The following is a 26982-nucleotide window of genomic DNA, read 5'->3' as shown; positions in this document are numbered from 1 at the left end:
AACTAAGAGCCTGATAAAATGCTTGGCTGATTTGACTAATAAAGGCTGGTCTGTTATCAGACTGTATAGAGGTGGGAAGGCTAAACTGAGGAATTATGTCTGACAGAAGGGAAGAAATGACTGCGGTGGCCTTCTCAGACCCTGTAGGAAAGGCCTCTACCTATCTAGTGAAAGTGTCTACTTAGACTAAGAGGTATTTTAGTTTTTGTGACTCAGGGCATGTTGAGTAAAGCTAATTTGCCAGTCCTGGGCGGGGGCAAATCCTCGAGCTTGATGTGTAGGGAAGGGAGGGGGCCTGAATAATCCTTGAGGAGTAGTAGAATAGCAGATAGAATAGCAGATGGAACACTGAGAAGTTATTTCCTTGAGGATAGATTTCCATGATGTAAAGGAAATGAGAGGTTCTAAGAGGCGGGCTAGTGGTTTGTACTATAGCATAGCCTGCCTTTGCTGGTGTGTGGTGATTAGGCCCGGTGGAACTGCCATCAATAAATCAAGCGTGATCAGGGTGAGAAACAGGGAAGAAGGAAATGTGGGGAAATGGGATGAACATCAGGTGGATCAGAGAGATACAGTCATGACGGTCAGGTGTGGTATCTGGAATAATGTGGGAGGCGGGATTGAAGTCCGGGCCAGGAACAATGGTAATTGTGGGACTTAACGAAGAGAGTACAGCTGAAGGAGCCAGGGAGCAGAAAGTATACGTGTCAGGTATGAGGAAGAAAATAGATTTTGGAAGTTATGAGAAATGTAGAGAGTGAGTTGAGCATAGTTTGTGATTTTGAGGGCCTCTAAAAGTATTAAAGCAGTGGCAGCCACTGCACGCAGACATGAGGGCTAGGCTAAAACAGTAAGGTCAAGTTGTTTGGACAGAAAGGCTACACGGTGTGGTCCTGGCTCTTGTGTAAAAATTCTGACCGCACTAACCATGCCTAGGAAGGAAAGGAGTTGTTTTGTAGAAGGTGCTGGGGTTTGGGAGATTAGTCGGACATGACTGGCAGGGAGAGCACGTGTGTTTTTATGAGAATTATGCCAAGATAGGTAACAGATGAGGAAGAAATTTGGGCTTGATTGAAGTAATGGGGGCTGTCTGTGAAGCTTTGCGGCAGTACAGCCTAGGTAATTTGCTGAGCTTGATGGGTGTCAGGGTCAGTCCAAGTGAAAGCGAAGAGAGGCTGGGATGAAGGGTGCAAAGGAATAGTAAAGAAAGCATGTTTGAGATCTAGAACAGAATAATGGGTTGTAGAGGCAGGTATTGAGGATAGGAGAGTATATGGGTTTGGCACCACAGGGTGGATAGGTAAAACAATTTGGTTGATAAGGCGCAGATCCTGAACTAACTTGTAAGGCTTGTCTGGTTTTAGGACAGGTAAAATGGGGGAATGGTTAAGGAGAGTTTATAGGTCTTAGAAGCCCATGCTGTAGCAGGCAAGTGATAACAGGCTTTAATCCTTTCAAAGCATGCTGTGGGATGGGATATTGGCATTGAACGGGGAAAGGGTGATTAGGTTTTAATGAGATGGTAAGGGGTGCATGATCGGTAGCCAAGGAGGGAGTAGAGGTATCTTATACTTGTGGGTTAAGGTGGGGGAATACAAGAGGAGGATGCAAAGAAGGCTTTGGATTGGGAAGAAGGGCAGCAATGAGATGCTGCTATAGTCCAGGAATAGTCAGGGAAGATAATTTAGTTAAAGTGTCTCAGCCTAATAAGGGAATTGGGCAGGTGGGGATAACTAAAAAAGAGTGCATAAGAGTATTGTCTAAGTTGGCACCACAGTTGGGGAGTTTTAGAGGTGTAGAAGCCTGGCTGTCATTCCCACAACAGTTATGGAGGCAAGGGAAACAGGCCCTTGAAAAGAAGGTAATGTTGGAGTGGGTAGCCTCCGTGTTGATTAAGAAGGGGACGGACTTACCCTTCACTGTGAGAGTTACCTAAAGCTCGGCGTCCGTGATGGTCTACGGGGCTTCCGAGGCGATCGGGCAGCATCAGTCTTCAGCCGCTAAGCTGAGAAGATCTGGAAAGGAGTCAGTCAGAGAGCCTTGGGCCAGAGTTCCAGGGGCTCTGGGAGTGGCTTCCAGGTGAGTTGAACAGTCTGATTTCCAGTGGGGTCCCGCACAGATGGGACACAGCTTAGGAGGAATCCTGGGCTGCAGGCATTCCTTGGCCTGTTGGTCAGATTTCTGGCACTTGTAGCAAGCTCCTGGGGGATGAGGTTCTGGAGTAAAGCCTGGCCGCTGCGGTTCAGGCGTTTGGAAGTTCTTGTGTGCTGGAGATGTGGCTGGGGTTTGTCTCACAGTGGAGGCAAGGAATTGCAACTTTTTTCTATTCTTGTACACCTTGAAGGTGAGGTTAATTAAGTCCTGTTGTGGGGTTTGAGGGCCAGATTCTAATTTTTGGAGTTTTATTTAATGTCAGGAGCAAATTGGGTAATAAAATGTATATTGAGAATAAGATGGCTTTTGACCTTTTAGGGTCTAGGGCTGTAAATTATCTCAGGGTTGCTGCCGAACGAGCCATGAACTGGGCTGGGTTTTTATATTTGATGAAAAAGAGCCTAAACGCTTCTGATTTGGGATAAAGAAAAAGGAGCATTAACCTTGACTACGCCTTTGACTCCAGCCACCTTTTTAAGAGTAAATTGCTGGGCAGGTGGGGGAGGGCTAGTCACAGAACGAAACTGTAAGCCGGACCAGGTGTGAGGAGGGGAGGCGATAAAAAGATTATAGGGTGGAGGAGCAGAGGCTGAGGAAGAATTGGGACCTAGCTCGGCCTGGCAAGGAGGGGAGAAGTCAGATGGGTCTGTAGAAAAGGAAGATTAGAAAGACTCAGCGATGCTTGGGGTTGGGACTGAGGGGACAGGAAGGAGGGAAAGAAGGAAGATTTGGGACGAGTTGCACTGGGCACAGAGACTAGGAAGGGACTGATGTGTAAAAGAATGCCTGGACATCAGGCACCTCAGACCGTTTGCCTATTTTACGACAAGAATTATTTAGATCTTGCAGGATGGAAAAATTCAAAGTGCCATTTTCTGGCTATTTGGAACTACTGTTGAGTTTGTATTGGGGTCAAGCGGCATTGCAAAAGAAAATAAGGTGTTTAGGTTTTAGGTCAGGTGTGAGTTGAAGAGGTTTTAAGTTCTTGAGAACACAGGCTAAGGGAGAAGAAGGAGGAATGGAGGGTGGAAGGTTGCCCATAGTGAAGGCGGCAAACCCAGAGAAAAGAGAGTGTAGAGACACGGAGGGAAGGGGTTTGGGGGTTCTTACCCTCCAGAAAAGTGGGAAGGGGGGTCGGGACACGGAAATAAGGGAGTGGGGCACAGAGATAAGAGGTTGGGGTGTGGAAATAAGGGATTGGGGCACAGAGATATGAGGTTGGGGTACTTGCCCCTCCCCCAGAAAAGCAGAGAAGGGGTAGAGACACGGAGAGAAGGGGCTGGGGTACTTGCCCCTTCCCCAGAAAAGCAGGACTTGCCACTAAGGGTGAAGGAGAAGGGGTTGAGGGGTACTTGCCCCTCCCCCAGAAAAGCGGGACTTGCCACTAAGGGTGAAGGAGAAGCGGTTGAGGGGTACTTTCACCTCCCCCAGAAAAGCAGAGAAGGGGTAGAGACAAGGAGAGAAGGGGGTGGGGTACTTGCCCCTTCCCCAGAAAAGCGGGACTTGCCGCTAAGGGTGAAGGACCGAGGCAGGCGTCCCTGCGTGGTCTGACACCTTTGAAACGTGGGTGAATAATCAGAGAGGTGTCCTTTCAATGATTAAACACCAAGGGAAGGCTGCCTTCCCAGTCCGTGACCGGCGCCGGAGTTTTGGGTCCACGGATAAAACGTGTCTCCTTTGTCTCTACCAGAAAATGAAAGGAATTGAAATTAAGAGAAGGGAGAGATTGAAGTGTGGCGCCAAGATTGAAAGGAGAAAGAGGTTGAGGGATAGTGAGGGAGGTTGGAGAAGAGAGTAAAAAGAGGCCGCTTACCGGATTTGAAATTGGTGAGATGTTTCTTGGGCTGGTCAGTCAGAGAACCTGAGGTCATAGGTGGATCTTTTTCACAGAGCAAAGGGCAGGAGGAAGGGGGATTGATCTCCCAAGGGAGGTCCCCCGATCTGAGTCACGGCACCAAATTCCATGAGCGTCCGTGTGAAGAGACCACCAAACAGGCTTTGTGTGGGCAACATGGCTGTTTATTTCACCTGGGTGCAGGTGGGCTGAGTCTGAAAAGAGTCAGCGAAGGGAGATAGGGGGGGCCGTTTTATAAGATTTGGGAAGGTAATGGAAAATTATAGTCAAAGGGGGTTGTTCTCTGCTGGGCAGGGGCAGGGGTCACAAGGTGCTCAGTGGGGGAGCTTCTGAGCCAGGAGAAGGAAATTCACAGGGTTAATCACTCAGTTAAGGTGGGGCAGGAACAAATCACAATGGTGGAATGTCATCGGTTAAGGCGGGGCAGGGCCTTTTCACTTCTTTTGTGATTCTTCAGTTACTTCAGGCCATCTGGGCGTATACGTGCAAGTCACAGGGGATGCAATGGCTTGGCTTGGGTTCAGAGGCCTGACAGAGACCATCCTGGCTAACACAGTGAAACCCCGTCTCTACTAAAGATACAAAAAATTAGCTGGGCATGGTAGCACGTGCCTGTAGTCCCAGCTACTCAGGAGGCTGAGGTGGGAGAATGGCATGAACCCAGGAGGTGGAGCTTGCAGTGAGCAGAGATTGCGCCACTGCACTCCAGCCTGGGGGACAGAGCGAGACTCCATCTCAAAAAATAAAAAATAAAAAATAAATTAAAAAAAGAATTTAATGAAATAGAAAGCAGAACAAACTAGAAAAGAGAAAAAATCTAAATGGATTTTTTTGTGGAGATTAATAAAATTAATACATTCCTAAAAAATTCTTAAAGATGGAAAAAAGAAAATATAAATTTTCAATATCAGAATAAAAGATATCCTATAGTCTTTAATTGGATTGTAAGGAAATATAGGTCTTATAGATCCTAAAATCAGTAAGAGGATTATAGATCAATAAGTAAAATAACTTTTATACTAATAAACTTATCTACATTAATACATAGTTCCCTTTTCATTTTAGCTGAGGTGTAGTATTCTTTGCAATTGGATTATTGTATACTTTATTTATCCTTCATCATTTTTGTGATAATGAACAAGTAGGCTGTTTCTAGTATTTTTTTGCATATCCAATAACCGTCAATTATATGTTGGTGATATAAATGGCAAATACCTTCTGACATCCTGTAGCTTTTTTCATTAAAAAAAAAAAAAGCTGCATTGTCTTTTGTTGTACAAAATTTTCTATTTTAAGGTGGTTGATTTTATCAATGTTTTTCATTAAGAGTTATGTTCATTGTGTTTTATTTAAGAAATTCTTCATTGCCAAGCCCAAGGTTAAATGTTATAACTTTATAACATTATAATGTTATAATGTTAACTTACAGTCTGTTTTTTCAGGTGATTTAAAAGTCCGTTGCTTTTTAGGTTTTAATCAACTGAGAAGGATATTTATCTTACGCAGTTTGGGGTAGAGGCATCGTTTCTCCCTGTGTAGATAGCAGATTTTGCAGCACCAAGTATTGTATAATCCTTTCCCCATCTGGTTTAAATGATACTTACCATATTACAAGTTTCCATACATGTGCCAATCTGACTTTGGATTCTTTTTTTTTTTTTTGAGACGGAGTCTCACTCTGTTGCCCAGGCTGGAGTGCATTGGCGTGGTGGCACAATCTCAGCTCACTGCAGCCTCCACCTCCTGGGTTCAAGCGATTCTCCTGCCTCAGCTTCCCAAGTAGCTGGGACTACAGGCGCCTGCCACCATGCTCGGCTAATTTTTTGTATTTTTAGTAGAGACGAGGTTTCACCGTAATACCCAGAATGGTCTCGATCTCCTGACCTCGTGACCTGCCCGCCTCAGCCTCCCAAAATGAGGATTCTATACCTTGAATCATAACTCCATTTTTCTATTTCTAAACTAATACTACACCACACTTTTAAAATTATTATAGTAAATCTTGATTTTTTTTTTTCTTTTGGCTAGGGCAAGTGCTTCCACTATATTTTCATTCAAATATAAATGACTGTTCTTGGCTATTCTATGTATGCCTTTTGGGATCGATGTATCAGGTTATACAAAATGATTATTGGAAATTCAAAAAATAATAGTGTTATTGGAGTATAATTTATATGTTATAAAATTCACGCTTTTGATTTATAACACTCAGTATTCCTTTGGCATATTCACAGACTTGTGCAATCATTACTACTATTTAATTTTAAAATATTTTCATACCCCTAAAAGAAACCCTGTACCCATTAGCAGTCCCAGTCCATTCTACCCACCCCTGGAGCCTGACAACTTCTTATTTACTTTATGCCTTTATGGATTTGCCTATTCTTCACATTTCATATAATGGAATCACAAGATACATGGTTTTTTGTGCCTGGCTTCTTTCACTTCACATCATACTTTTCAAATTCTGCTGTAGCATATGTCCATACTCTGTTACTTTCTATCACCGGGTAATATTCCACTAGGTATATGTATCACATTTTATTTATCCATTTAGTCACCTGATAGGCATTTGGTTGTTTACACTTTGGGGCTATTACGAATGATGCTGCTATGAACATTTGTTATGAGTTTCTATGAATGTACGTTTTCAAGTACCTTGGGCATACACCTAGGAGTGGAATTGTTTGTCATATGGTAGCTCTATGTCTAACTTTCTGAGTGCACCAAACTGGTTCACCTGTCAGATTGTCTCTATCAGTTGTCTTTTCTCTTAAGAATTGATCACATTTTCCTCATTCTTTTTACGCCAAGTACTTCTGGATTACAACCCAAGGCACTTGATACCCATATAACAAGATACGCAGAACACATTCTGCATATTTAAATCATGTGCTAGGGAGCGGTGTTGGATTGGGTTGCAGGCTGGATTCTCTTACATTTCTCTGAAGAGTGTGGATTATCTTTTAAGCAGATTTAACTTGGTTGGAATCAAGCAGGTTTCCCTTGATTGAACTCAAATAGAAAATTCTGCCTTTTGCAATTCAGCTGTATTTTGTCCCATATATGCATGCTTCAAGAATCAGCAACACACTTAGGAAGTGTTTATATGCAAAAATTAGTTTCAATTTTATTTTTGGTCTTTCTGTTTCCTGAAAAACAAAAACAGACCTGAAAAGCATATAACATATTTTAATACTTGTTAATGCTGAATGGTGGACAGATGCATATGACTATGCTTTTATCTTAGTTATTTTTAAATAAAGCCAGTAAATATTGATTGTTCGCATCCTGAAATGTAGCAGAATTTAGAAAGTAGTTAGTTTTCAATTATAATGTTGACCTTTGATTTACTTCTTAGCAAGAAAAGGAATTAACTCTTTAATTAGTATTTCTAAAATTAGTAATTTTTTTTTGAATTTTTCTGATATTTCTAAGCTAAAATTCACTTTGCTGCACACATATATTACACACACCTACATATATGTATAGATATATATTCATGTGTATTTAATATATATTTTATGTAGTATATTTGTAAATATATATAATTTGCTTGTATGTACATATTCATATCTGTAGATATACATAAGTATATATACATTTCTATGCATATGTGTATGCATGTGTCTTATATATTTGAATATATATCATTTTAAAATATAATACACTATAGAATTAGAGTTTTGAATTTTATTTGGATTTTTATGTAGATGTTCATATGTGGCATTCATCAGTCATTTTCTCATTGCGGTCATTTTCAGATTTGGGGTTTAACCTCATGCTGGCTTGGTAAAAAGAATCTGAAAATTTTTCTTCTCTTGGCTGGAAGAATTTAAACACGCTGAAGTGACATAGTATTCAAAAATGTAAAAGTAATTTTCCTGTGCAACACCTTCTTAGCATGTGCTGTGATGTGTGAGTATGGGTGTGTATGAGGCAGGGGAATTGTCCCATACTCCCTTATTTAAAAAACTGTGGCATTTGTTTGTTTGAGTTGATGAGATCATTTTTGAAATGCATTTCTGTCCTTGATATTTTCCTGGAAATTCATCCATTTTGTGTGTTCACAAACTTATTTTACACTGAATTTAGTGATGCTACCACTTGGCAGGAATTGGCAATATTGTATGTGCTTTCTCTTTAACCAAACTATTTCATTTACCTTAAAATAATCCCTCCACATGTTCTCAAAAAAAAGGTAATGAAAAAGCATGTTTGATAATGCATTTAGCAATATAACATAGCATGATACTATTTCTGTAATTGTTAAAAGATCTAATGGTTTCAAATATATTTCTCAAGTATGAATAGATATGTTGTTCATGGACATATGTATGTTAATTTATAATTTGGTTCAACAGATATACACAAGTTCTTCACAGTGTCTGTCTCAGAGAAGAGTGAAAGGGGGAAGGCAGATGGAGAATGTGATTAATCTGTTATGTTTTCTTTCTTTCTTTAAAAATGTCTTGAAATAAATATAACACAATGTGAAACTGTCAATTCAGGGTAATAGATACCTAGCAGTTTCTCACCTTATTCTTCATACTAATCTGTATTTGTGATTTTTTTTCTCAACAAAAACAAGCAAAGTAAATAACCAGAAAGAAGGACATGAAAAGCCCATTCCTATTCTACCACCTCCACTCATTCATACTGCCCAAGGAGCAGTCACTGTTCATGTCACTCCTCCAGATCTTAGCCTATGCACAGAGACATGTGCATTTCATCTCATTCAAAAAGGTCAAGGTTTGTAGGGAACATTTGTTTCTGTTTTGTTTTAATTTGCATTTCCTTTTTCAAAATTTAGAAAGATTTTGCATCATTGGTTTTTTAGGATTTACCTTTTTATAAAAATGAACTTTTCCAATAAACCTGCCATTTTTTGACCTACCACTGTGAACATAGGGAAATACGAAACTTACACATTCTCTTTTCCCTCCCTACTTCCTATTTGTTTTAAAACATTTTTCCAGGGTCCATCAGAGTTATATAGTTGTTTTTATTCATAATGAAAAAAATCTTTTTTTCTGTTTTAAAATATATATTTTACGTAACCATAATTTCCTCAATTATTTCACTTTGGTTTTATATTTAAATGGATTTAGTACTTACTGCCAGTCCTTTCATAGAAGGTCTTTCTATTCCATTAGTTCAATTTTTTTGCTATGGAAATTTCTTGTTTTCATCGGTGAGCTTTTTCAAAAAGGTTTCAGTTTCTGCATCCTAGCAATTTTTAGGATGCCTCTCGATTTCCTTTATACCTGAATGACTATCAGTCTGTCTATAACATTCACAGATCATACATATTTCCACCCCACAAGCCTCCGCTGGAATTTCTGCATTGTCTTCTGGCACTAACTGATGCAGTGTAGAAGTTTGAATGCAATGCAACTTTTGTTTTTTTTTCCTCGTACAGGATTCTTTCTTCCCCCGATAATGTTCAGGAACTTTACCAAGATACAAACAATAGCTGATACTTGAAAAGAATATCCTCTGTACCAGTAACTCACCGAAGTACATGACATATATTACCTCATTTCATTCCCATTCACAACAAACCATGAAGCTGGGATTTTTAATAGTCACACTTTGCAGATTAAAAAATCAGCCTGACAAACCTGCCCAGAGTCACAGCTACTAAAGAATGGAGCTAAGATTCATGTCAGATCAAGGGATCTCTTTTACTCCATTTACATACGTGGATGTAAAAGCTTCTCATGTTTGAAGGTTTGGCAAATGTTTCATTTCAGGAAATATTTTTCTGTATCTCTGAGTGTTCTTTATCTGTTCCATTATTTTCTCTTCTCCATCTCAAGGACACAGATGCTCACATGCTGCTCCTTTGATGCATAACTTCCGTATCTGCCATCTTCATTGAAATTGTTGTCATCCTGCCATGCTTTCTAATGACAATCTTCATGATTATTTCAATTCTCTCTTCCATAACACAGTATTGATTTTCAACTGGCATCTTCTCTTTTCCTTACCCTCTAAAGCATGTTTATTAATCTGCAGTGCTGTTGCTTGATCTTCAAATACTTTCACTACTTTTGCAAATTAATTCGGTGGTGTTATATTTTATATCTATATTTTTATTTATATCAATCTGTTCATTATTTTCATTGTAGTTTTGGTGTTTTTATAAGTTCTTCTCAGAAAGTGTTTTATCAGAATATTTATTCTATTACTTGGTGTATACCTTCTTCTAGAATAAATTCTTCTTTTCTATTTTATATGCTAGCTTGCTTTCTTCTCCTCCTCCTTCTCCTTTTTTCTTTTCCTTCATAATTGTTAAGAGTGCCATGACTCTTTTTTTCATTTTGCTCATCTTTGATATTAGCCCCTCTATGTGGGCACTTTCTTTGTGCATATATAGCATATACAAATTATTCTTGCTTACCCGCCTATCTTAGTGGAGGCTTATTTGTTTATCCCACTAGAGGTTCAGCTTGTGACTTGGTTACTGCTGATGTCTGTTTGCAGGTGTCTGTTTTCTTAAGGGGCCTCAGATGCAGTTGTGACTATTTTGATTTGTTGTTTTCTGCTCAATTTCATGTAATTTTATTATTATTATAGAGTTTATTATGAGTACTCCAAGGTGTATCTTTCTTAGGTGAGTAGAGATATTATGTTTATATTGGATTTTCTGCTATGTAGACATCACTTTATAGCTACTACAGTTTCACATTGCCATCCTCCTGAGCTATTCTATGCTGTTATCCCTCTTCTGACCAAGCCAGAGGTGGGGAAAATGAGTGAAATTTATTATTTAAACAAGGTGCTATAGGAAGAAAGGCCATATAGAGCTCTTTTTTTTTTTTTTTTTTTTACCTCCTTTCACATTATTCCCTTTGTCAAGGGACAACCAAATTGCCTCAAGACTTTGTCTTATCTTGATGTTGTTTATTACTGGAAATAATTAGTTGTGCTCAATCTATGCCTCTACTCCCTCATCCTTGAGGTGTAGGGGAAGATTGATGAGCACTAACAGATTTTCCCTTCGTTGAAAAATTTTTCATCTATGATGTTGGGAAGAGGCTTCTATTATGAAAGAGACATTTTATAAAATTACCCAGGATGGCCTTCCAAACTGGAGAGAATTTTATGCAGTTTTGCCTATAGATGTCTTCTCAGACACTTCTCAGACAAGAATTTGTGTACTATTTTCTAGATTCCTCTGTCTCTCTGTTTCTAGATTATCTTTTTCAAAATGAATAATAATTTTTGCTCCATTTACTTTTGTATTGTTCTTGGAGAATTAATTTTTAAAATAATGTTGCTGATTTCTGTTTATTTCATTAGGTTTTGGGTAGGGACATTGAGGATTCTGCTTTGTATCATTCTGTTTTCCCAGAATTCCCCATCAGTTTTCCTCCTGCCTCCAAAGTCAGTGTCAGCTCACTTATATCTGATTTCTGTATTTTCATACAAAATATTCAAATAACTCCCCTTAATATGGTTTTCTCTCTTACAAGTTATAATCCATGCTTTGTTTCTTTGCTTGTTTCATTTTCATTTTGTTGTGCAATCTCTCTTCCCTGGATAGCCATCTTTCTTGCTTACTTACTAAACATTGATTTGATCACAATGTTTTTAGCTTAACCATTCCCTCTTTATTTTTTTACAGTCTATCTTTGTGTCCCAGTTATCTATTGCTGCATACAAATTAACCCAAACTCAGTGATTTTAAAATAACAATAATGACATTCTTATTTTTCTCGCATCTCTGCAGGATGACTGGGCTCAGGTAGGTGGTCCTCACCCAAGGTCTCTCATTTTGTGATAGTCAGACAGTGGATAAGGCTGTAGTTACCTGAGGGTTTTGCCCAGTCATATGTCTGGCTGGACTGGGAAGACTCAAAAATCCAGGGAAAATAGCAGCTGGAGCTCCTTAGGCATCTTTCTCTATCACCAGCTGGCCTTGCCATGCTATTTCTCCAGCATGGTGATGTTAAGAGCAAGGCAGTGACAAAGTCCTGATCAATTTCAAGGTCAAGGGTAAATAGGCTCCACCTCTTGACTGAGGGATGAGAAAGTTCTAGAAGAGCATGATGTGGCCATTTTCTGAAAAAACAACAATTGGTGAGAGTCTTCTCTGGCCACAATACTCTACTTTCCTTACACATTAAAAATACACTAACCCTTACCTCCAAGACCTCCTAAAGCCTTATTTCATGATGGGATCAGGATGAGGCCTTAGAGCCAGAATTTTATCATCTTAATTAGTTCCAGGTATAATGAGGCTCCTAGAGTACACTTCCTCAACTACAGTTCCTCGAGAATGTCTCCTCTTGATGTAAAGACTTACAATTTTCAGATCACAAGAGAAAAGTTACCCTCCACCTTCCCTCTCTACACTTATCACAGACAAGTTCAACAAGCATAGGATAACCACTATAGACATTCCCTTTCAAAGGGGGAATACTGCGGTGCACATAGAAGTTGCTGGTCTGTAGCGTTCCTGAAATCAACCCTGGCACAGGTTGTCAGCTTTTTTAAACAGCTTTACAAAGAACTGTAGATATTTAATATGTAGAATTTGGTGAGTTTGTAAGTATGTAAACACTGAGGATACCATCTCTACAATGAAGTTAATAGACACATCCAACACCTCCCAATGTTTCCTTGTGTCCCTATGTTTTGAGGTCTTTGATGTGTGCCTGTGGCAAAAACACTTAACATGAGTTCTAGCCTTTTAACACATTTTAAAGTACATAGGACCTTGTTAACTACAGGCACTGTGTTGTACAACATATCTCTAGAACTTCTTCATCTAGCTAAGCTTTTAAACCCATTGAAAAACAAATTCCTGTTTTCTCCATCCCCTTACCCCTGGCAACTACTACTGTATTCTTATTTCTGTAAGTTTTACTATTATACACATCTTATAAAAGTGGAATCTTACAGTATTCGTCCTTCTGTGACTGTCTTATTTCACTTACCATAACGTCCTGCAGTCTCATGTTGTCAGAAATAGCAGGATTCAGGATTTCCTTCTTTTTTTAATTCCGAATAATATTCCACTGTGTGTATATGCCACGTTTCCCTCATCTATTCGTCTGTCAATGGACACAGGTTATTTCCATATCTTGGCTCTTGTGAATAATGCTGCAGTGAACATAGGGGTTCAGATATCTCTTCAAGATCCTGATTTCGATTCTTTGGAATATGTAACCAGATGGAAGATTACTAGATCATATGGTAGTTCTATTTTTAATTTTTGAGAAACTTCAACACCGTTTTCCTCAGTGGCTATACCATTTTGCATTCACATCAACAGCATACGAGGGTTCCAAATTTTCCACATCTGCACTACACTCATTAACTTCTGTTTCTTATTTTGAAATTAACCATACTAACAGGTGTGAGGTAATATGTCATTGCGGTTTTGACTTTCATTTCCCTGAAATTTCTGATTTCAAAATTTCAAAATATATTAAAGGCTCCAGAAATTAGTCTGATACTGGCATAAAGACGGACACGTAGCTGCATCGAACAGAACAGAGAGCCCAGAAATAAATCCACGCACGTATGGTTTGACCTTGGTACTTTTTGACGAAGTACCAAGAATATACAATGGAGAATGGATAGTCTCTAACAAATAGTGCCGGGAACACTGTAATTAATATATTCACCCTGTTTTATAGTTGTTTGAAATGAAAGAGCTAATCTGATGCTAATTATTCCATCATGGCTTAAGAGTTTTTAGTTTTTAATCATAAATGTGTTTTAAATTTTATTGAATGCATTCTTTTTTACCTATAAAGGTTATCTTGTGACCTTTAAAAAATAAATGAATAAAAAATAAAATTGAACCATCACTTTATACTACACACAAAAAGCAACTCAAAATGTTTTAAAGACTTAAATGCAAGACCTGAAACTGTAAAATTTAAAAAAAGAAAAAAAAACCCCACAGGGGACCAGGCACTGTGGCTCATGCCTGTAATTCCAACACTTTGGGAGGCCGAGGTGGGTGGATCACTTGAGATCAGCAGTTTGAGATCAGCCTGGCCAACATGGTGAAACCCTGTGTCTTTAAAAATAGAAAAATTAGCCAGGTGTGGTGGTGGGCACCTGTAATCCCAGCTACTTGGGAGGCTGAGGCACAAGAATCACTTGAACCTGGGAGGCAGAGTTTGCAGGGAGCCAAGACTGTGCCACTGATTTCCAGCCTGGGCGATAGAGTGAGATTCAGTCTCAAAAAAAAAAAAAAAAAAAAAAAAAAGGAAAAAATCATCTTAACATTAGTCTTAGCAATTATTTCTTGGATGTGACACAAAAAGCATAGGCAATACAAACAAAACTGACAAGTGCAACTACATCAGATTCAAAATGTTCTGTATAGCAAAGAAAAGAGTCACCAGAATAAAAAGGCAACATACAGAATGGGAGAAAATGTCTTCGAATCATATATCTGAGAAGGGGTTTAATTTTCAAAATATATACGAAATTCCTATAACTCAGTAGCAAAACTAACAAAACAACCCCAAATACCTCAATGAAAAATTTAAAAAATGAACAGAGGACCTAAACAGACATTTCTCCAAAGAGGCATACTCATGGCCAACAGGTATCTGAAAGCAAGTTGTCAGTTGTTAATCAGAGCTTAGCTCTAATGTCTGGAAATCATTCCCATGGTATATAGCTCTGAAAAATGTAGCACATGTACCCAACTTTGTAGTTTTTCAGCCTGCTTCCCACCTATAGAAACAAAAGATTCTGATATCTCTTTGTATTTTCTTAGTTTTGATAGCCCCTTCACTGTAAGCTAATAAATTTCCTTTAGAAACATTCTGGGTTTTCAACGAATCAATTTATAATTCACTCCATTAGATCCAAGCCACTCCACAATTTCTTCAAGATAATTCTTTCTGTGCCATGGATTCCCTTGGGGAACACTGTGGGACAATGATCTTAACATTCTCAGAAAAACTGTTGGTTAAAGAATAGAATCTTCAAGTCATGCCCTCAAGATCTTTAGAAGGATTTCTGTCTATTGAAAGGGTCTATTAGGCAACACCTTAAATTGCTCTATGGACTTAACAAAGTGTTTTACTTTGATACTCTTAGCTTCTCCCTTACATCATATTTTCCTAAAATTATAAATTTGTCTCCTTTCCAGAAGTCATTTCTGAATTTCAGCATTGTTTGGCCACTGGTGGGGCTCGGCACAAGAAAAAGTTTTATTTCAAAACCTGGCAGGTCCTAGCTCTTTTATATTTAACAGTTCTTTCTTTAGATTTTCTATCTCCTTTCGCATTTTACTATATTTAATAAGAAGAAGCCACATAGCACTATCAACACTCCACCTAGAAATCTTGGCTGGATCATCCAAGGCATGAGATAGACTGCCTATTTTCCACCTTACAGCTGGAAGTAGTGATGTTAAACTTTCTACCACTCTGTAAGAAAGTCTCCTTTCTTCCAACTCCTAATCGCCTTATTCTCACTTCCTTTGAAGTCTTTCCTGATAATCTCTTTGGGGTTCATTAAGCTCCCACTGTTTTTCCAAGGCTTTTTCAATGTTTGCATCATCCCTTAATCCTAAAGCCCCTTAGTTACTTAGTCCCAAAGCCACTGCCTCATGTCTCAGATTCTGTTAGAGCAACACTTCACTTACAGGTATCAGTAGGTTTTCCAGCAAACTGTTGCTGAATAACAAGTTGCCCTATACCGTAGGGGCCTTAAACAACAGTATTCATTTTATTATTATTTCTCACATTTCTGGCGGTTGACTGGACTCAGTGCAAAAGTTCTTACCCAATGCCTTTTATGTAGGTATCAACCCATGCAGCTGGCACTTGAATCTTCTGAGTATTTGCTCCCTCTCCTGTATGGTGGCATTGCTGGGAGATTCAAACTGCTGGGGCCCAGGATTGGCTGGAGTCCTTGGAAGTCTCTCTCGGTCTCTATGTGGTCTCCCAATTGGCCTTTTCAGCATGGCAGCTTCAGGATAGCTGCAGGGTTTGCTGCAATTCTTATGTGGTAGATGAAGGCTCCTAAAATAGAGACAAACGCAGAGAAAGAGAGAGTAAAAGAGAGGGAGAGAGAGAAGGAGGCTAAAACTGTAGTACCTTTTCGAATCCAGCTTTAGAAGCTCCCTGTGTCCCTTCTGCCACGCCTCTTTGTTGGGCCAGCCATTAAGACCTGTCAAGACTCATGGTGTGGGTAAATCTGCTCTGCTTCTTGATCACAAAATTCTGGAAGACCATGTGGGACCAGAATTATTACTATGGAGACTACAATCTGCCACACTGAGTGCTAACTATTATTTCAAGCATTCAACGTTTCTAGGAGTGAAACACTGTGATGTTGTCAGGCGTTTGAACCAGAGTGACTCCATCTTGAGTAGGGGGCGGGTAAAATAAGGCTGAAACCTCCTGGGCTGCATTCCCAGTTAGGCATTCTAAGTCACAGGATGAGATAGGAGACTGGCATAAGACACAGGTCACAAAGGCCTTGCTGATGAAACAGGTTGCAGTAAAGAAACTGGCTAAAACCCACCAAAACCAAAATGGCCATGAGAGTGACCTCTGGTCATCCTCACTGCTACACTCTTATTAGCGCCATGACAGTTTACAAATGCTATGGCAATGTCATGAAGTTACCCTATCTGGTCCAAAATGGGGAGGCATGAATAATCCACCCTTTGTTTATCATATCATCAAGAAATAACCATAAAAATAGGCAACCAACAGCTCTCAGGGCTGCTGTGTCTATAGAGTAGCCCATTCTTTTATTCCTTTACTTTCCTAATAAACTGGCTTTTAGTTTTCTCTGTGGACTTGCCCTGAATTCTTTCTTGCATGAGATCAAAGAACCCTCTCTTGGGGTCTGGATCCAGACCTCTTCCAGTAACAATGTAAGCAGATGCAGAGTGAGGATCAAGAGGATACAATAAGCCACATCCTGAAAAATAAGGATAAGCTTGAGACCCTCTCAGGTGGGAGTTAGAAACTCCAGAGCAAGGATCACAGCTATAAAGACTTTGTAGTTTAGAAAGCTTTGCCACTCCCTCTGGTATGTTAGTTCTGCAGCTCTTCACCATTGCCGATGACCCTTGCATGTGACTTCATGAGCAACCTGGAGGAGTGTTAGCTGCAGACTGATTCCACACTGCAGATATTTACAAGGACGAAGACTCAGAGGAGTTCATGAGAGGTGTCTGCTCTCAGAGGAAGTGCAAACAGCAAAGTCCTGGGTGCTGTAGCAAGAAACATGCAGAATGGTGGATGGCCTGGGACAGCCACACAGCAGCTAGCCCTTGTTGACTCATAGGTCAGGCTCTTCCGTCGTGTGGTTTAATCTTTAGGGCAAGCCTGTGAGGTAGCTCTCTGCATCATTGGTGAGGAAATGGAGACTTCCATGATTTTATTAACTTTATACAGCTTTAAGGCAAGAAACTAGGACACAAAACCACGTAAGTCTGTCTCCAAAGTCTACAACCTTTCACAGCAGTGTACTGGGACTGGTGACTGAGAGGACCACATGCAACCCCACTTATCAGGGACATGTTTTTTCCTCTCTGGAAATGACAGAACAAAGATTACAAAGGCTGAGAGATATTGGCCTGAGGAGTGGGACGTTCACTTAGCTCCTTCTTTTCTGTAAACACTTATAAATTGGACTGACATTTTTCCAAATATTCTCCTGTAAACGGCAGGTAGATCGTTTCTGCTATTGATTGTCTTATTTATAGCTAACAAAATGCATACATTAGTTAGGAGAGAGGAATGAAAATAGTCTGTCAATTACTTTTGTGCTCACAAACTATGCTAGACATTTCAAGTTCTTCATTCAAAATTCCATAGCATCTGTTTAAGATAGTAGCTACTTACTTCATCTCACAGGTGTGCCACTAAGGCTTAGAAAGGTGAAGCATCTCGCCAATGTCACATAGGTAGTAACTGGAAGAATCAAAGCTTAATCCAAAGTTGCTTGGCTGCAAACTTATTTTTGGGTTTTCAAATGTGCACTAAAAGCACTGGCTAGGCTGGTTGGGGAGAAACCGAAGAAGAGGAACTCATGTAGAACAGGGAAACTATTGGACCAGCCAAAGCTGCTTAACCTTTTCTGCTGTAATAAAATGTTCAAGGGTACCATGGCCTTAGTCAGCGGCATCTGAATCCACTCTTACGAAGCTGTGATTCTGTGACATGCTTGATAGACACTTATCTGAGTCTATCAATTAAAGCTTCAGCAAACTCTGTCCAGATGTATTTTCATCTATAGTTTTAAGACAAATTATTATTTAATGTCAGTCTTTTTTCCTGTAAATGTGTACACCATGCTAAGTGCTTTACATGCTTAGCATCGGTCAATCTTCACAACAGCTCTGTGCTGTGGCTTGTTATCCTCATCCAACAGATGTGAAAACCAAGGATCCTTCCAAGCTTGCACGGCCAATTTTGGTGGAACCACAATTAAGATGCAAGTTGGTTTAACTCTGAAACCTGTGTTTCTTCATGAAATTGTGCCACGATTTCATTAGGAGAAGCCCTCTTGCAGGCCCCTTTCGTATTTAACGAATAATCCATACTTCATGGTTTCTGCTGCTTTTCTTTTCCTGGAGGATTTTATTAAGAAATCCATTTGTCTTTGCACCCTGGGAGCTGCTTCCTCCTGCTGTCTGACTCAGGCTTTTCAGCCTATTTGCACCTCAAATCCCTCATTAGGGAATCCAGGCTGGGGAGAGTTCTAGGCACAGTTTAAAAGGTTTTGCTCCCCCCACCCTGCCCGCCCACCCCTTCCTATTTTTGCTTTTATTTTTAACTGCACTTCTTTCTGACAGGAACTCTGTTTGTCCTGACTTGAGTCTGATGTTATGAGTCACTGGGGAGATATAATATGCTGATTGCTGAACCAGGTTATTATTTTTTCTTTTTCTATGACTCATTCTCTTCAAAATCTCTAATTTATGATAAAAGTCAGTAAGATGTAAGCACAGAAAATGTTCCTAATGGGCTGTCTTATTAGGTTTGGGCCCACTTTGTCTAGTTTAACTCTTGAGATGAACAATGTAATTCAGTGTCCCCCTTAGAAAGATCTGGGGCCGGTGGGCCATGGCTCCTCCCACACCACTGCCAGGCAGGGCAATGAGCAGTGCTAGGGCTCCACTCATAGGAAGAGTTCAACCTGTGGACCCAGTTGAAAGAAGAGAAAGCTTCTGATGAGATACTACTAGTGCTGCCCACATATGTGCATCACAAGGACATAGAGCCATAAAAACCTATCCTGCTTTACAATGTTTCTAATGAAGGAACATTATAAGTCATCATCCCCTTAAAATGCCACCCCAAAATGGGGCAAACGCATATGCAAAATACAAACATAGCTCACAAGATGACAGTGTAAACTAAGAAAATCTACTCAGACGTAGAAAGAGATGGGGATTTTTTATGATCCACTTTGTTATGTAAACAAAGAGTCAGACTGTTAGACCAGGACAAGATTTTCAAGGTCTCATTCAATGCACGACCACTTTTCATAGCCCCTTGGACAGATGCAGCCAGTAATGGGGAGCTCCCTGTGTTCTCAACTATTTAACCATTTGAAGTTCATTGGTGAATAATTGAACACTTACCCTGTGCCCCGATGTCTCCTAGGAACCAGAGATGCAAATGTGATAATGATGTCTCTAAACTGCCCTGGTCTTAGGAGGACAAACTCCTGACTCTTCTTCAGCAACCCCCGCTGTGTCCCTTCTTAGCCTTGCCCAAGCCTGTTTAACCTGCGCCGGACCCACAGCATGAGGCTGAGGCAGCTTCTAAGCTGCTATAGATGTGGCCTTTAGTCCGCTGGGTTGCTCTTTTGTGTCAGCCTCTGCCTGGTGACACAGCTTGTCAGTGCCACTGCTTGGGATCTGCCGCAGTGCAGCAGCTGGAATGAATCACACGCCTCTTCCAATTTCAGTGGTCTTCTGTTGTTATGGACTGAGTTCTGTCCCCCTAAAATCCGCATGTGGAAGTAGTCGTAACCCAATGTGACTGTATTTAAAGATAGGGTCTTTAAGGAGATAATTAAGCTTATTTAATTTTTTATTCATGTAAGTTTACAGGATATAAGTGTAATTTTTTTGCATGTATAGATTACATAGTGGTCAAGTCAAGGCTTTTAGGGTACCCATTGCCTGAATAGCATACGCTGTACCATTAAGTAATTTCCCATCCTCTACCAATTTAATTAAGTTTAAATGCTGTCAAAAGAGTGGGAAGCTAATCCGATAAGACCTGTGTCCTTATTAAAAGAGGAAGAGACACCAGGAATGTGCAAACAAGGATGAAAGGTCACATAAGGACACAGTGAGAAGGTGACCATCTGCAAGCCAGGAAGAAGCCAACCCTGCTTCACCTTCATCTTCAACTTTTATCCTCTAGAACTATGAAAAGATTAATCAAGTCACTCAATTTGTGGTATTCTTTTCCAGCATCCCACGGGGGACTACCACACCTCTTTATCATCATTCTCTTGTCCAACAGAAACTCTTTTTGGGGAGATAAATGTCTTGGTCTTGGCCATCAGGCCAGGTTCCATCTTACTCCATCTAGCACCAAATGGACATCCATGTTGTTTGTCTTGATTTGGTGCAGAAGTAATGGTGGTGTTTGCATTGTGCAATTTGATCTTTGATATTGGAATACATTCTGAAACAAATGTGGTTATGTTACACATCATTCTAATGTGCATTTCTCACTTTATGTTTTTTTGCTAATGACTTATTACTTGCTGTTTATTTTATATTTATTTTAGACTATGAAAATTATGTTAGACAAAAAGCAAATTCGAGAGATTTTATTTGAGTTCAAAATGGGTTGTAAAGCATCAGAGACAACTTGCAACATCAATAACGCATTTGGCCCAGGATCTGCTAATGAACGTACAGTGCAGTGGTGGTTCGAGAAGTTTTGCAAAGGGGACGAGATCCTTGAAGATGAGGAGTGTAGTGGCCGGTCATCACAAGCTGACAACAGCCAATTGAGAGCAATCATCAAAGCTCATCCTCTTATAACTACATGAGAAGTTGCTGAAGAACTCAACCACGACCATTCTGCGATTGTTCAGCATTTGAAGAAAATTGGAAGGGTGAAAAAGCTTGGCAAGTGAGTGCCTCACGAGTTGAGTGAAAATGTAAAAAATCGTTATTTTGAAGCATTGTCTTATTCTACACAAAAACAACAAACCATTTCTCAATCGGATTGTGACATGCGACAAAAAGTGAATTTTATTTGACAACCAGCAATGACCAGCTCAGTGGTTGGACAGAGAAGAAGCTCCAAAGCACTTCCCAAAGCCAAACTTGCACCAAATAAAGGTCATGGTCACTATTTGCTGGTCTGCTGCTGGTCTGATCCGCTACGGCTTTCTGAATCCTGGCGAAACCATTACATCCAAGAAGTATGATCAGCAAATCAATGAGATGCACCGAAAACTGCAATGCCTGCAGCCAGCATTGGTCAACAGAAAGGGGCCCAATTCTTCTCCATGAAAACGCCGGACCACACATCGGACAACCAACACTTCAAAAGTTGAACGAATTGGGCTATGAGGCTCTGCTTCATCCACCATATTCAACTGACCTCTCCCAATCAACTACCACTTCTTCAAGCTTCTTGATGACTTTTTGCCAGGAAAATGCTTCCACAACCAGCAGGATGCAGAAAATGCTTTCCAAGAGTTTGTTGAATCCCAAAGCGTCGATTTTTACACTACAGGAATAAACAAATTTCTTATTGGTAAAAAGTTCTTGATTGTAATGGCTCCCATTTTGATTAATAAAGATGTGTTTGAGCCTAGTTATAATGATTTAAAATTCATGATCCGAAACAGCAATTATTTTTGCACCAACCTAGTAACCGTGGTTTTTAGTACCAAAGACAAATCTGTCTTTCTTGTCTCTTCCTTTTTGTTAGTTCCGCTTTTATTCAGCCACCAAAGATCTTTTCTTAGTATTCCTCTTTCTGACTTCAGAAATCACTATTTCTTCCATCTTTTTGCCAAAAGACGTTTGTTTTCAATTTTTATGAGCAGACTTGAAATAGCTTTGCATTTTTCTTCAAAGATATCATGACCCCTAACCTCCCCAAACAAAAGAAGAAGCTTCCGGGCCTGGCGCGGTGGCTCACGCCTGTAATCCCAGCACTTTGGGAGGCCGAGGCAAGCAGATCACGAGATCAGGAGATCAAGACCATCCTGGCTAACACGGTGAAACCCCGTCTCTACTAAAAATACAAAAAATTAGCCAGGCGTGGTGGCGGGCGCCTGTACTCCCAGCTACTCGGGAGCCTGAGGCAGGAGAATGGCGTGAACCCGGGAGGCGGAGCTTGCAGTGAGCCGAGATAGCGCCACTGCACTCCAGCCTGGGCGACAGAGCGAGACTCTGTCTCAAAAAAAAAAAAAAAAGAAAAAGCTTTCCTACAGTTCATAGTTTAATGATGGAGACACCTGTAGAAAAACGTTCAAAGGATGAGCCAAGGAGGGCTATACAGGGCAAGTGACTTCTTCCGTCTGGTGGCATTCAAGCAGATTTCACAGTGAGAGGGGTAGTTAAGCTGCGCCTTGAAGGGTAGGTGAAAGGTTATGGGTGAAGAAGAGAGGAAAAGGGTCCCAGTAAGGGGAATAGCACGTGAAGCTGCAGGGAGACATAGAAAAGGCACATTTGAACAAGAGTGAGTGAACTCCTGTGGTTGCAGCCCAGGGTTCTAGATGTGAAGGAAGGGCTGGGGAGGTGGCGCCAGGTGGGATGTGATTATGTCGGATTTACCAGCATCTTTAGGACCTGCCTGCCCTGCAGGTGTGTGAGGAGCAGTTCCTGAGCTATCTGAGCTTGTCTTTCTTCTGAAAAAGGCTTGAATAGATGACCAGTGAATGGCATAGTGGTTTTGGCCAGCAGCACTTGGTATTGAGGAGGAAGTTCTGGGTAAAACAGCTTCTTCTCATTCTTTTCATATATGTTTGTGTGTTGATGAAATGGCAGCAAAATTTTTTTGAAAAGTAAACTTCGCTTCTCCTTGAGAGGCTCTCACTGATATTTTTACTGTCTAATCAAGGCACAGTGAGGCAGGCTATGCAACTTTTTCAGATCCCCCACCTGGTAGATAATGGAGCATGAAGTCAGACTCAGATCTTTATGGCTCCAAAGCTGTGCTCCTTCCACCATGTTCCCTTCCTCAAACGTGGAATGACATTTTTGTAGAAAAATAAAGGCAATTCGATACATTGTGCTCATTTATTTTGCTAACCTTAGGAAAATGTCCAACAGTTGCCTGAATTACCTATGACAAAAACATTTCCACCGCAATCTCCTCCACTCTTTGGAGTGAGTTAAGTGGATTTCTGTAATTACCTTAATGGGTGTATATGTTTTGAAAAACAGCATACATAAGGTGCTTAAGCCAATACCTGTTACAGTATTTGTTCAATAAATGTTGACTATTACTAATATGAATAAATAATATTGTATATATATTCCCAATGTATATATAGATATATGGAAATTTTTTAAAATGCAGTGCTCATAAAGCATTTCTTTTATTCAGCCAATATTCCCTGAGCTCCGATATCTTCTAGGCCCTTAGATTGGAGATTACACCTTTGTGGAACTCACAGACGAAGAGGGGCTAGGAATCACTGAGACCTTATTAGCAAAATGCCATGGCAAGTGCTATAATCTTTGATAATCTCTTCAGATGACAATAATTTTATAATATTTTCTATTAAGAAAAGGGAAAGAGAACTCAAGGTCTTTCCTTTTGCATAGTCGGTTGATTCCTTTAACTTCTGTTACTTTCAAACTCCCTATCAGTAAGGCCATGAAAATGTTTACTGTTGTCAAATTTGGAAAAAAACACATCACATTGATTTCAAAGATATAAGATTTCAAGCCACTTCACATTTTCTTGTGTAGCAACCATTCTCAAAATCTTTGATTAGACAAACTTCATTAACTAGCTTTTTAAGAAGCCTTTGTTGCAATGGCGTGTTATGAATTTGCTATTTTGACGATGTCAGTATTTCCAGTCAAATCAGTAGGAAACTTAAATAGTCACTTTCATAATTATATTTTATCTAATTCCCTTCGAAAAGAAAACAATGTGGGGTGTTTTAATTGTATATGCTGTATAATTAAGCATATTCTGAGACAGATAGAACTCCTGTTTCAAATTATCTGCTTGCAGTTTTACATGTTTGATGATTGAAAGCATTTTCCACAGATTAGCTTCTGAGCCTTCACATTTCAAAACCTGTTTCTCCTCTGCTCCCCGAACATTTCTGCAGCCTTGGGGCAAGCTTGTATTGTGTATCAACCTCTGGCCCTGCTCTTTTTTGTCATGGCACTGGGTGAGTCAACACAGTGGGTGGCAGGAATATTCTAGAAGCCATTTCTACACCAGGATGGTTAGCAATAGCTCAATTGTTCTGGAAGTGACTAGGAGACATAGGAATTCATTTCAATAAACCCAAACTAACCCTAACTGAGGTTCTTCTCAATTAAATCCTCAAAATGCCGCCCACCTCTGCACCACCACTCAACATGAGGAAAAGTTGGACAGAGAAAAAAAGTGAAATGGAAAAAGGCACAGTCTTAATTGACTACAATTAAAATATCTTACTTTTGCAAATTTTACAAAACTATATGAACATCAAAACACATGGTCAGGGACTTTCTGAGAGCCTTGGAAGGAGCCCACGCACATGGCGGGCTCTGGAGCTGAAGTTTCCTTAAACTCAGGGAAAACACACCCCTGGCTCCATGTCTGGAGCCTTTGCAGGGTGGACAACTAGTTTACATCACTCTGAAAAGCACCTAGTGGGATAACAAAGAACACATGCTAATCCCCAGTCCACGACCTGGGCCACAGGTTTTTTTTTTTTTTTTAATCAAAATAGCTCTCTTGTGACCATGAAGGCTGTCAGGGCCTGGATATAGAAGTCGTCTCTGTTTCCATGTACTTTTTGGCACCCAAACTGTTGACTTGTGAGCTGTGGTCACTGAAATGGTCTATGTCGAGAATAACAACTTTGAACCTTAATCAGTCCACTAGGATGTAGCTAAACCCTCTCCTATAGTTTTTTGTCATTGTAATCTGATTAAAAGCAAAGGGAAAAAGAAACTCTGCCTCCGGGGTGGCCCAAGCACACCGTAAAATAAGTTGTCAGCAGGGAAGAATGAATAGAGCTCTAAGTATTAGGAAGGCTTGAATGGCTGGAAAGTGGGAGACATGCCTCACTGATGGGCAGAGCTTCAGTTGAACACTCTGAGGAACTGTTTTCTTAAAAGTCATGCTCTCCTAAATCTAGTTTCCCTGGAGCTTCATCTCTTACACATCTACAAGCAGGCGGCTTTCAAAAAAATAAATATGACCATTTTGCTCCTCTTCCTGAAGACTATCAGTGGTTCTGATGAACCTCAGAATAAAGTCCCAAGGCCTTCAGCTGATACCAGGAGATCTTCATTATTTGGCCTTGGCCGCCAACTCATGGCCTCACTTTCTGGTCATCACCCCCTCTATGCCTGTGTTAGGCACCGTTTCCCAGAGAAACCGGATCAAAAGGATGTGTATGTCTGCATCTGTATCTATATTTATATCATTTACATAAGCTATCTACATCTACGTTTATATATCTATATTATCTATATATCTATATCATCTCTATAACTATATCTATATCTATCTGTATCTATAGAGAGGTTTTCAATGCTCATCACAATTACTTTCCTAGCTCGATACATAATACTGATTTCTGTTGTCGCCCATATCACATTGCTCCGTAATTTGAGTCTATTGAGGAAAACTCTAAACTTCTCTCAGTCTGTGTCCAGTCAGAAACCACTTTACATGTTTCAAATGGAGGGAATTTAATACAGGGAAGGTGTTATAAAGCCAGAAAAAAACAGAAGAGAAACTAAAGAAGTGGAGGAACAAAAAGGAAAAAAGGTCTGATCTACCCACCAGCTTAGGCTAACACCCTAGTGCTGGCAGCCACAGTCTACTCCTGCCCTGGGCTGTTGGAGATGCTACCACACCCAATCCTGGATCCTGACTCTACTAAAGGGGCATTGCTTGGGCCAGAGCTGGAGCTGCTAAGCAGGTGCTACTTCCCCTGGGATTACTGGAGCCTGCCATTCCCTATGCTCACTGTCAGCTGTGTCTAGTAACTTCCACACAATCAGAGGCACAAACTCCCAACTTCTTTCCCCAGCCTTGTCATCTCCAGGTAGTGCCCCCTATTGGCTGAATCTAGTGGGAATCCTGCTGACCCGGGCTCTCTGGAAACATAGTTTGCAAACTCCTGGTTTCAGCTCCAGGCAGGTGTGTTTTGTCCTTTGGAGGCCTCCTGAAACCACGGATCCCAAGCATTTTACTGTGTGGTCTTTGTCTTTCTCTTTGCAGCATCTTCTTCAAAGCAGTGATGAAAGTTTAAATAAGTTAATCTGTTGCCAAGCAACACACTTTTACATTAGCACACTTCTCTTTGCTAGTGGTGGCATTTTTTTTTTTTTTTTCCATTTCTTCAGTGACAAGGTACTGGCAGGTTTTAAGGAATTATACATACACCTACAATACTGAGAGGGTTTTTTTTTCCCCCTTGTCTTCTAAAAATGTGCTGAGTTTTATTACCTTAGATAGAGGCTTCTATGAAGCTAGAGAATGAATTAACATGTCTTCTTTCAAAACCTCATGTGCTTTCAAGAGACATTGGTTGCACATTTTATGGGCTTTTCACTTTTTTTGTTTTGAAAATAAAGTAAACCTGGTGCCTTAGATAAAACCATGAGCTTCTCCACCTTTTCTTTTTCTTTTTTTCAGTGTTTTTCGCTTGAGTATTAATCATTTTCCACATTGGGCTTTTTTCCTTTAGAAAATAATGTTCAAAGCTAACTGATGAATCAGTGATTTTTGGGTACTGCCATTCAGCTGTGATTTGGTCTTTCAATTAGAAAAGTTTTTGTTTATTTTTCATTT

At 40.1% G+C, this 26982-nt stretch overlaps 1 long non-coding RNA gene across 1 annotated transcript in view; it reads right to left on the bottom strand.

The window, feature by feature from the left end:
- MIR3681HG (MIR3681 host gene) overlaps positions 1-26982 on the bottom strand; it is a 571233-nt gene that overhangs the window by 4126 nt on the left and 540125 nt on the right. The window contains exon 5 of the long non-coding RNA NR_110196.1: positions 15779-16017. This is a non-coding gene — a long non-coding RNA (MIR3681 host gene). The remainder of the gene's footprint in view (positions 1-15778; positions 16018-26982) is intronic.

This window comes from Homo sapiens, chromosome 2 (genome assembly GCF_000001405.40).
Source record: "Homo sapiens chromosome 2, GRCh38.p14 Primary Assembly".
Lineage (NCBI taxonomy): Eukaryota > Metazoa > Chordata > Mammalia > Primates > Hominidae > Homo > Homo sapiens.
Note: the sequence above shows the minus strand (reverse complement) of the source record. Positions and strands in the feature narration are given on the sequence as shown.